Source organism: Homo sapiens, chromosome X, assembly GCF_000001405.40.
Source record: "Homo sapiens chromosome X, GRCh38.p14 Primary Assembly".
Lineage (NCBI taxonomy): Eukaryota > Metazoa > Chordata > Mammalia > Primates > Hominidae > Homo > Homo sapiens.
The window spans coordinates 110,304,556-110,316,724 of NC_000023.11; the positions used below are offsets into that span (position 1 = coordinate 110,304,556).

Genomic DNA, 12,169 nt, shown 5'->3' on the forward strand with positions numbered 1-12,169 from the left:
CGTACTGAAGAATGAAAGCACTTTGTCTACAGAGCAGACTACTGCTTGTGTTATTTCCTAGTCTCTTGTCAAGGTTTCATGACATTCACAACATTAAAGGTGCTGGTGAGACATAATTAAACAGACAAAGAGAAATTTTACCAAGAAAGAGGCCACTCACAGGCCATTAAAATTTTAAAATTGTCAACTGTTAGACCTTCATTTCCCAATGCTTGTTATAGCTAGTCTCCTTACAGGTCCCCTTTCTTGCTAGGTTCTCCCCCACTTCAACCTACTTTTGATTGGTACCCACTGACCACTGTATAATGCTCATCCTGACCTATGTCTAAGATGTTTCTCTGCCTAGACTGCTTTTTCCATCTATGAAAGTTCTACCTAGCCTAAATCCTATTTTGTCTGTAAAGCTCTCCTGTACAATCTTAGCCCACATTAGTCTACCCAAACAATGAGTCCTACAGACATCACTGTCTCCATCACTCATTTAGCTGTTGAATCATATGTGACTTCATTATTTGTTTCATGAATCTTGTCTTTTCAGTATGACTGCAAGCTTTTTAAGGACATGAAGCATGGTTTATGCCTATTTTATAGATTTCTCACCCATACTCATAAAGGGGTCTAGCATAGTGTTCTACCCAGAACAGCTGTATTACTTGTTGAAATGAAATATTAGAACCAGTCATAATATTAAGAGCAGTACTTGCATAGAATAAGAGATAGGTATTGATGTCAAACACAGTCTTAAGATAATACTGGCAAAAAAGACTTGAGACTTCAACAAATATTCATTTTAAAAGCCTGTAAGCAAAGGGATAATCATAGTAAAAATTCTACTTTCTTGTTTAGAACTGCAAAGCCACCTCTAAATGGAACAAGTTAGATACTGCTCCAAAACCCAAATTGATGCATTACAATTCAGTGATATTATTTTTAAAACGTCTACACCCCAGCTAATGATAGAGAGCCTCATACTGGTTGTACAGAAAACAGGGCAAACAAACAACTTTCAAGACCTGCAACTTGATCATATCTATTATTTCACAGATGCCACTGCCACACTTAGATGTAAGTTTTTCATTAGAAACAAGTGTGTATACTGTAAGAAGCAATTTCAAGAAGTGCTTAACTGAAATGGTTATATAGTCTATATATACACATATAGACTTAACGGCCTTACTTATAATATCCCATTATGCAATTTATCTTCCAATTTTCCATCTCTCTAGAAAACACATTTCCTCAGAAACCCCATCTCTACTGAAAATTAAAAAAAAAAAATCAGCTGGGCATGGTGGCACACACCTGTAATCACAGCAACTCGGGAGGTTGAGACAGGAGAATCACTTGAACCCGTGAGGTGGAGCTTTCAGTGAGCCAAGATCACACCACTGCACTCCAGCCTGGGTGACAGAGCAAGACTCCATCTCAAAAAAGTAAAAAATTGGGCGAGGCGCGGTGGCTCACGCCTGTAATCCCAGCACTTTGGGAGGCCGAGGCAGGCGGATCACGAGGTCAGGAGATCGAGACCATCCTGGCTAACACGGTGAAACCCCGTCTCTACTAAAAACAAACAAACAAAAAAGAAATTAGCCGGGCTTGGTGGCGGGCACCTGTGGTCCCAGCTAGCTACTCGGGAGGCTGAGGCAGGAGAATGGTGTGAACCCGGAGGCAGAGCTTGCAGTGAGCCAAGATCACGCCACTGCACTCCAGCCTGGCCAACAGAGCAAGACTCCGTCTCGAAAAATAAAATAAAATAAAAAATAAAAAAATTAAAAAGTTACTTTTGATTTTAATGCCTTTAGTTTATTCATAATTTTCAATAGGTTTGGAAAAATAAATACCTCGAAGCCTAAATTAGGCTCTCTTGTAAAAAGGAGCTATGCACCTCTGGTACTTTTATTTTTTTTATTTTTTATTTTTGAGACGGAGTTTCAGTCTTGTTGCCTAGGCTGGAGTGCAATGGCGTGATCTCAGCTCACAGCAACCTTTGACTCCTGGGTTCAAGCGATTCTCCTACCTCAGCCTCCGGAGTAGCTGGGATTACAGGCATGCACCACCACACCCAGCTAATTTTGTATTTTTAGTAGAGACGGGGTTTCTCCATATTGGTCAGGCCAGTCTCAAACTCCCTACCTCAGGTGATCCGCCCGCCTTGGCTTCCCAAAGTGCTGGGATCACAGGCGTGAGCCACCGCGCCTGGCCCCTCTAGTAAGTTTATAAGGTTAATTTGTGAAGGATTCCCAAAATTCCTAGAAGAAATGAGTTGCTTTAGGTAAAGCCACTATTATGTGCCTTTAAAAATTAAGCTAAGCAGAGTGCTTATAGTTAACATTACTATACACTTAAACATTTACTAACAGGGTAAAAATCTCATCTTTTTTACCACCATAAAAAATAAGTGGCTGGGCACGGTGGCTCACACTTGTAAGCCCAGCACTTCAGTAGGCAGAGGCGGGCAGATCACCTGAGGTCAGGTGTTCAAGACCAGCCTGGCAAACATGGTGAAACCCCGTCTCTACAAAAATACAAAAATACAAAAATTAGCTGGGCATGATGGCAGGTGCCTGTAATTCCAGCTACTTGGGAGGCTGAGGCGGGAGAAATCACTTGAACCCGGGAGGCGGAGGTTGCAGTGAGCCGAAATCATACCATTGCACTCTAGCCTGGGTGATGGAGCAAGATTCTGTCTCCAAAAAAAAAAAAAAAAAGTAAACTACCATCAGCCTACATGTATATGATAAAAGATAAACTGATAAACAAAAAATGGCTGACACTCCAGTTATCTGTGAGAATGTAATTTACAAATTAAATTGACCATAGTAGGTCCTTCTAAGATAAAGTACAAAAGAGATAGGTATGTACCTTTGTATGACTGTATTCTGCAGCCAGTCAGAAATTATACCTGGGTCTATCATTTAATAGTGCCTGTTCCATAATCTTTGTTATAGATAATAACTGTGAGCAAACTACATGAAACAAACTTCACACATCTAAGTAGAGGCTATTAATATAAATATACAGGCCTAAAAAGAAGATATGTCTGAATACCTGAGGATTTATAGCTATGTGCATAGACAAGTCAAGAAAAATAAGTAAGGATAATTACAGGAGAGTGGCTACATTTATGCTGTTTTGGGTAAAGCTACTTGTCCCATAGCTTCCAGAGTTATGTAGAGGCCTCATTCTGAAGACACTGTACAAATGGTTTTCAATATGGTCTCTTATAAGTATTAAAAGGACCCATAGCAGGTCCTCATATTATGAAACTTCATGATATGCATTTGCTTCTGCTAGAAACTTTTTTTTTTCTTTTTTTTTTTTTTTTTTTTTTTGAGACATGGTCTGACTCTGTCGCCCAAGCTGGAGTGCAGTGGTGTGATCACGGCTCACTGCACCCTCGACCTCCTGGGTTCAAGCAATCCTCCTGCCTCAGCCTCCCAAGTAGCTGGGACTACAGGCGCATGCCATCATGCTCAGCTAAGTTTTTCAAATATATAATTTGTAGAGATGGGGGTCTCACTATGTTGTCTAGGCTGGTCTAGAACTCCTGGGTTCAAGCAATCCTCCTGCCTCAGCCTCTCAAAGTGTTGGGATTACAGGCGTGAGCCATGGCACCTAGCCAGAATAATTATTTTTTAACAAGAATGCTGTGGCCATTGATTCTAAAGGAGGGACATCTAAGTTTTTATGATGTAAAACATAAAAAGCACTCCTGCTCCAGATCAGGTGCTCAATCTCCCTTTTCTGCCCTGAATCCATGCTTCACTTAACTTGAATACAATTCATTTTACTCCCTCCCTGATTCCTATATGCCCTCTGTCCCTGCCTCGAACCACATGTGACTCTCTTTCTCCACACAGCCAATGCCTACAATGTGGGAGAGTCAATTCCCACAAAAATTGCCAGACAGGACAATAGTTGGAGGAGTTTGTGGAGTAAAGTATACCACAAACCACATATCACCCACCTCATTAGTGTCGGAAAAATAGAATATTATTCCTTTTTGTTCTTGTGAGGGTTTTTTGAATGGACAAGTAGAAGAGTGTGGGGGTAGATGGATCTGTGAACTCAAAAAAAATTTTAACTACTGACTTTCTCTGTACCTACTCCTAACATCAAAGAGCTATTCCACAAAATCAAGTACCCAGCCAAGCTAGTGGCAAGTTTTTTATTGGCTTGTTTTGTTTTAATGCAAAAGAAGCTGTGGCAAGTTTTTTTTTTAATTTGTTTTTGTCATTATCATAGGGAAACTCATGAATTGTGTTGAGAACACATGAATTGTGTTGAGAATACCTACTCTAACATGGAAAAAAGGCAAAGACTTCATGAGATTCTTCTTTATTGAATAAATCACCAATGCCATCTTCTACTTACCATATAAAAAAGGAGGTAAAAAAGCACCCGTCAATCTAAACACTTCACTTTTGTTCAAAATCAGCACAAAGTGTTTGCCTTGCTACAATGAATTATGTACTGAGGCCCAAGTTTTACCAGCTATATAATTTATTTGCACCCCAAACCACCTAAACCTAACCGTGTGGTTGCTAGGCTACTATAAGCGATAATGATATCACAGAAAAGAAACACACTAATGTAACTAGTACATAAGCATTTATTTGAGGCAGATACAGTGCTGTGGGACCCCTAGGCTAACAGCATCAAAACCAATTTTTCAGAGACTCCATTCCATAGGAATTACTCAAAGATCCACTAACACCTGAAGCAAAGCAGAGAATCTGTTACCACCTTGCAGCAATCCAAGATCTCACTAGAAAATATGTTACTAAAGTTGTATGTAATATGCTTACAGATCACAGTGAAAGTATATCGAATGGCAAGGTGAACTATATAGGCTCTTAATTCAATCTCACTACTTTCTATTACTAGAGAACTGGTCAGCATCTTCTGGCAGGATACTGCATAAAACAGTCAACTGTGCTCTCCCGGCACTGCATGTGGCTTTGGGTAACAATGTGGATTATCTGTAAAATGAAACAGATAGGGAAAAGGCAAGAATCATCAAGACTATCACAGACTTTATTGAAAAAAACTAGTATTAGTAGGTCTTTACTCAAGCAGAACTTTTCACTTTTGCCCATCCACTGAAGATCGCAAAGATCCTAAAGCAATATGGCTGATCCCATCAGTTCATAACATCCATCCTTCATCATTGAGCAAAGCCACAAAACAGATCCAGCTTGATTCAATCTATTTTACTTTCTAAGCTTTAGGACACACAACCTAGAATCTTGTACCAAAGGCACTTCTAGTCCTTCAAAAATTTCCCTTTAGTTCTGAAATTATGAATTCCTGAGATGGCCTGCCACGAGGCTTTATCTTGCTCAAGGCTGTACTATGATATACACATAAGGAAATAAAAGGATCACTGCCTGCTTTACAAATTGATAAGCCTGAAGACTAAGAAAATGTAAAAACCTACATTAAAGAAACCCAAAATTCTGCCAGGTATTTTTACTAGCAGTACAAAGCTGAAAACTATCACTGATATCTACTTATCTGAGCCATTCAAAGTCACAAAGTGGGGGAGTGATCCCAAGGGGCCAACTAAAACATCACAATAGCTCTGTTGCTGCTCTGTGGTTCTGGTAATTCAAAAAGAAATAACATTTGATAACTGCCAACACTTGGAACTACACATAGTAAGAAATCTGATTTCACCTGCCCAACCATTTGTTTCTTCCCATATTCCCCCCATGTTTTTTAATGGCACCACCATCCTCATGGTTCCCCAGGCTTATGAACTCTGAATCATGTTCAAAGCCTCTCTTCTTTTACTTCTGCCAAGCAACCAGAATTTGTTTTTTTTTTTCCTGCAGTGCCTCTCCATGCACATGTAGTCACCTAATCACAGGTCCTCATCCAAAAGCTATTCCAGCTATCTTTATATTTGATACAAATTCTATAAACCGATGTGTCCTCTCATCCTTTCTCCCAAATTAGATACAGCTGGGAATAGGTGAAGAGGGAAAGGGGAGGAGAGTTCTTATGCCTGTGATCAAATTTCATAGCCATTTCAACAGAGCTGTTTAACAAACTTTTTCTGAGCACAAGAATAGCTAGGCACAGAGCCAAGAAAAGAAGAGGCAATGATGGAAGCCAAAAACAGGTGAGCTACAATCTTTCCACTCCTACACAAAACCTGGCCCTAGAGTATGAACCCTTGCATATGCTGATAACTTCTTCCAATTCTCAATTTTGCAACATTCCTATATTCACAAACTCTGCCCCTGGGGTGGCTTTCCCACTTTCCAATGCCAGTTTTCCTACTGCCCTCATAACCTTAAGCCTAGTTAGTCTCCCCTATCTTGAGACTCTTCTCCCAATTCATCTGATACTCTAGAGGACTCTTCTGCAAATCCTGTTCTCTTCCTAATACAAGAAACTATAAGCAGATACAAGATCTCTTATCCAGCCTCCCCAGAGGATTCTCAACACAAAGGCCACTTTTAATTTCCTTGAAGTTTTATGATCTTAGAGACCAGAGCAAGGGGAGTGATATGAAGAATGCTGAGAGTGCAAGTTGCTGACTGAAGACAGCTGCTGGGAATCCCCAAGTACTGTGGCAAGGGGTGTGGTGGTGACAGCAACGGGTTTAAGAACAACCAAGTAAGACTTCAAGATCTACTGGTCAAACAGACTCTACCAATAATTTCTGTACCTCCTCCATTTCAAAACTTGGTTCCAGTTATTCCCTCCCTATAGCCTTCTCCCTGACCACTCCTTTATTCCATGTCATTTCCATGTGTATGCATTTTATGTGTATTTTATTAATCTACAATCATGTATATATTGCTTTGTAAGTATTTCAAGCAACTTTGATAATAGTATCATATCTTGAACAGGACTGTAAGCTCTGTGAGGATAGGACTATTCCTTCTATTTTTCTGGTTTCCAACCATGAAACTCAGGATAATGTATATTTTTTACAAAAACAGGGTTTTTTTTTCCAATGACATATAATTTCCACTCAGCTATTCAACACTAACATTTTTAACTTTGAGCAAGTTTCAATGTCTGAAACATTAAGAGCTGTAGAAAATACACCCACACTTGATACAAAAGATGCCACTTATAGTTGGACTGAACATAAAACATGCTCCACCCAACCAACTATACTATTACACTGTACTTCTTCCTTTGGGTTATTTTCTTTATACTACATAAACTGTGGGTCATTTTTGCTCTTAGCAACACTAACTACAGAAGCTAAACTCTAAATAAGCTTACTGTTGGGAATCTACTCTTTCCACCTACACAACCACTGGTTTCCCACACTGTCTCCAGTGTCCTGTGAGCAACTGCCCAATTACTGATTGTGGAAAGACAGCTTACACATTGAGGGTCCATTCTTGGCAGATGCTGGGTTTTACTGCTGGTCCTCACTTACTTAGCTTAATTGATTCAGAACAGTATCAAAAAGAGACATTATTACACAAGTTTGAAAAAGAGACTATTTAACAAAATTTAAATGTAAAAGCCCTGGTCATTGTGCTGCTTTATAAGAGCCAAGCATGTGTGACATCGAGAGTACATAATAATGCCTATTGAAATCAGGAAAACTTGGGAACTGACTAATCTCATTACACAAGTTTTAGTGTTTCACACATAAATTCTCAAAAAGTAAAACTGTCTATAAATAGGAAATGCAATTCACTTCAAAAATATAATCCACTACAGCTAAGGTTTTAGTATTTATAACACAAATTTGGTTTCAAAAAGCATACAGTTTTTAAAAAGACAACAACACACATGTTAGCATGTGCCTGAGAAATACATACTTAGAAAAACAACTCATGCATGGGTTAACAGACCATTTTTTACTTTTTCAGTAGTGGTCTTTCTTCCCATTGGACTGAGAGATTTCAGCAGAGATTCCTACTTGGCTGCCACCCGCTAACTGAAACCTGAGTATAGCACAAACATAATTCATAAGCAAGAAAAATTATGGGCTAAATTATCACTCCCTTTGGCCATATGGGGGAGAAAGCAAAATAAGCATTTTCTTTTTAACTAAATATACCTTGTCCCACATACACCTTTATGCATGGATATAAAAACAATTTTGTGATTTATATTTCTCCATCCTTCTAGCTCAGTCACTGATGGCTTTTACAGAACAACTGACAACTGGGGACATGCCTGCCTTCTTTTCTATCCATAAGATACGACATCAGATTGTCTTCCAATGGGAATCAACATTGTTAAAAAAAAACAACCATATTATACCTTCAAAATGACTCAATTGTTCAGACAGTGTTTTGCTTTTATAAGAAAAACTATACATTATGACCAGAGAATGCAAGTTAGTACCGTTATGTTAGTGTGGATAAGGAAATCTGTCATGGCCTCATGGCATCATCTGCGATAGACAGATACATCTTCTGGCTATTCTGGTCAATCTTCATCAGAAAACATATAACAGAAATATAATGGCTTATATTTAAAATACAAATTTAATATCATTTTAACCTGAGCAGCACTATCAAATCATCTTTTTGATAATGCAATAGGATTGCCACAGTTCTGTTGAAACAAAATGCCTACTCCCCAACACAACCCAATTCCTCCCAAGCACACTGAAAAACAGCAACTTGACTACGGTGGCAAGACGAGAAAGAGTTAACTGTTAAAACACCTCTTCAGAGTCTCAAAATCTGCATATGCGGGAGTGGATTTTTTTAAAATACATTTTATTAATTGCAATTTAAAACCACACTTACTGATGTACTTTAATAATAAAGAATCTTCTATGTGCTATGGTCTATACAAAATGTAGTATTACGTTAACTTCAAAGGTGGTAGGATGATTAAAATAAAAAGTTCAAGTAACGTGACACGCAGCAGCATTAAAGATATAAGACTGAACAATCCCAGTGCCTTAGCAGAATCCTTTCATATTTTTGTTACAGAGGGAAAGTCTTAAAATGAAATCCAGCAACCATAGGCATAAGTAAAAGCTTTTAAAATCTTTTCACAATACTTTAGTGAAAGAATCATAAGAGCATTTTATGGGAACAAAGGGGGCTTTACTTATTAAAATCAATATAATTCACCTTAAGGTATCATATTTGTAATGCTTTTAACTCCTAAAATGTATCCCTTACATTTAACAATTTCTGAAAAAGGACCTAAAATCATACCACAGGTTTCCAAGAGTCACCCTCACCCCTCAACTAAAACCATCCCAAGAACCTCAGACTCTTATACTCTCGGCAGCACTCAATCTCCTGGGTGCTAGGTTAGAATGAACATGCTAAAGCATAGTGACACAGAAGCAGGAAGTTTTATACTGAAAACTGGCCTTGAAAATTGCCATTCCATTACAGTCGCTCAAGTACTTATTCAGGTCCTCAATTCTCTCTCCAGAGGTTCTCAACGTGTGGCCCTGGGAACTGTAGCATCAGCATCACCAGGGAACTTGTTAGAAATGCAAATTCACAGTCCCACCCCACACCAACTGAATCAGAAACTCCGGGAATGGGGCCCAACAATTTGTGTTTTAACAAGCACTATAGATTATGATGTACTCCAAAGTATGAGAACCAGTCCTTCTCAAACTTTAATGTGCGTAAGAATCACCTGAGGAGCTTGTTAAACTGCAGACTCTAATTCAGCAGGTCTGAGGCGGGGCCTGAGAGCCTATATTTGTAATGATTTCCCAGGTGATGTCTTCTGCAGACCACAATGCAAGAGTTTCTCAAATCGGTTGTTTACTGAAATTTAGGGTGCTCATAAAATTCAGATTCCAAGGCACTACCCTAGCCCAAATTATCCAAATCTCAAGAGAAAGATTCAGTAGACTATAACCAGTGGTTCGCCACCTTGGCTGCACATTAAACTCACCTGGTGAGCTTTTACTAATCCTGATTCCCAGGCCCCATCCAAGACCCCATTCAAGTCCAATTAAATTAGAATCTCTGGAGTTGGGGCTCAGGCATCCATATTTTTAATAACTTCCCAGTGATTCCAATGTGCAGCCAAAGTTAAGAATGACTGCTCTGGAGTCTAACTAGCTCAACACCTGGCACAGTGGATCCCTTTATAGTAGCAAACAGGTTCCTATAAAATAGCTATCTGGGCTCCCTACATAAATCCAAGAGTGCTGATTTTGAATATCAAAATGCAGTAAAGTTAAGTTTTCCTCATGTCTTTAACCAGATTTCTGTGCACAAACTTGCCTGTACAATGCTTTCTGCAATTGGGTAGGTAATCAAAACATGGGGGCAACAGTGAAGAATTTGTATCCATACAGCTTGTTCATATATTGACATCCCCTCAATACTGAGTGGAAGGATAACTAACTGATGGATCTACAGCTTCTAAACCCATAAAACGAGGATTTCACCAGTTACAGACATTCTGAGAGAAAAGTCCTGGGAAAGGATGAAAAGAGTGTGCGTTTACGTATGAGAAGTTAAAACTGTCAAAAGCACAACATCTGGTGGGCAGAGACATGACCTGAAACACACTGCTCATGACATGATAATAACTATGAGAAAAAAAAATCCCAATATGTCTGTTTATGTCTTATGGCACTTAGGATAAAGCAACACTAATAAGTACACAATGCTGTTAAATATGTAAAACAGAAAGACAAATGTGTGGTAGTTACTAAGGCACTGTTGAAATGCTTAGTTATGTCCCTCCCATAATCAGGAAGTTTTCCTGAATTTTCCACAGTACACCTCAAAAATGAGTTGAAGATAAATGGAAATAAGACAGTCCATTTTCCACTTAAGTGAACTTTCATTCTCCACTTGGTCATGTTTAGTGTCTACTCTACATTAGTTGTTTTATAGAATACATGACACATTCAAGGTCTGCTAGATGATAATAGTTATTATTCTTCCACCACCGTTTCAACATATCCACAGTGGTCAAAGTGTGTCCTATCATCTGCTTAATTCCATGAAAAAGAAATCCAGGGGCTGGGGTGTTTGAATAGAATAATATCTAAATACGTGTGCAAAGTGGCTACTGTTAAAATGATATTTTCAAAAGCATTTTCTGTATGAACTGGTCAAGCTCACTTTCCTTTTAAAATTCTTGTTATAGTCATTGAGTTAACCCAAACTCACTGTAAAATGTGTGAAAATAGCACCTCCTGAAAGTGTGTTCTCATATGCTTTGGAGCAATGGAGCGTGAATACTAAAGCAGCCTTTGCCAAACTCATGTTAACAGCTCAAGAACTAAACAGGAGTGAATTTTTGCAGTCCCATGACTTTGCAGAGCCAACCTAAGTATCATCCCAGGACTAGCTTTAATACATCACAGACATCCAAGAGAAGGCATAAAAGTCACAAATAAGTGACTCAAGCTAATAAATATTTCATAGATTTATTTTACATGGCAGTCTTTTCAAAATGAATTTTACTTCTTAACCAAAAAAATGAATTGGCTAAATAAAAGTGTGGACTTAGGATTTAAGCTTCTAGAATTAACACTATGAAATTTATAAAGATATTTATTTGACGAAGTGTTCTCCTGGATGCTCTTTCATGCACTTCTCATAAACCAATGCCCAAAGATTAACCAAGTCTAAAAGAAAATGCACAGACCACAGAAGAGTCATACAAAATTAAAGACATTTAAAGAATGAAAGCCAAAGAAAACAAACAGTACAAATGCACAATTTCCAGGACACTTTATTGTAATTTCCACTTTACATATTAATTTAATATTTTAGTCTAGGCAGAAATGTTTATACTTATACAACAGTAGTCCAATCCTCTAATCTCACAAAATGAAAAGGAGCAGTTTTAAAAGAACATCAATTCAGGTATTTATGATATGGGGGACAAGGGGCACTTGTCTTAGCTGGAAAAGGGGCTGATGCCTTTCAGTACGAGTTTCACTGAAATTTTTTCTGTATTATTTTTCTTGTTGATGCTAAGTACTCAAATAAAAGCAATTGCACTTTTTCTCATTCTGCCCTCTCTTGGTCTTTACATTCTGTCTAGCATTTAACGCAAAAAGTCAGTTTACATTCAGTTTACACATTAAAAAAAAAAAACCATATGCCCCACCTCCCACACATCCAAATGGACAGGGATTAGAATTAACCTGGCTTTTAGCTGTAACAGTGCTATTTTAAAATTTTTCAACCACACACTTGAAGGGTAAAATAATTTAAGATACAAAACCAAA

The 12,169-nt window shown here is 38.4% G+C and overlaps 1 protein-coding gene across 3 annotated transcripts in view, besides 3 other annotated features; it reads right to left on the reverse strand.

The window, feature by feature from the left end:
• AMMECR1 (AMMECR nuclear protein 1) overlaps window positions 1–12,169 on the reverse strand; it is a 246,048-nt gene that overhangs the window by 110,370 nt on the left and 123,509 nt on the right. The window lies entirely within an intron of this gene.
• Window positions 6,306–6,355: an enhancer, noted in NCBI's record as "active region_29850". NCBI's record gives its function as "activates an Ori minimal core promoter by ATAC-STARR-seq in GM12878 lymphoblastoid cells {active_cell/tissue: GM12878}" and the evidence as "EXISTENCE:reporter gene assay evidence [ECO:0000049][PMID:35858748]".
• Window positions 6,366–6,415: an enhancer, noted in NCBI's record as "active region_29851". NCBI's record gives its function as "activates an Ori minimal core promoter by ATAC-STARR-seq in GM12878 lymphoblastoid cells {active_cell/tissue: GM12878}" and the evidence as "EXISTENCE:reporter gene assay evidence [ECO:0000049][PMID:35858748]".
• Window positions 11,091–11,190: a silencer, noted in NCBI's record as "silent region_20939". NCBI's record gives its function as "represses an Ori minimal core promoter by ATAC-STARR-seq in GM12878 lymphoblastoid cells {active_cell/tissue: GM12878}" and the evidence as "EXISTENCE:reporter gene assay evidence [ECO:0000049][PMID:35858748]".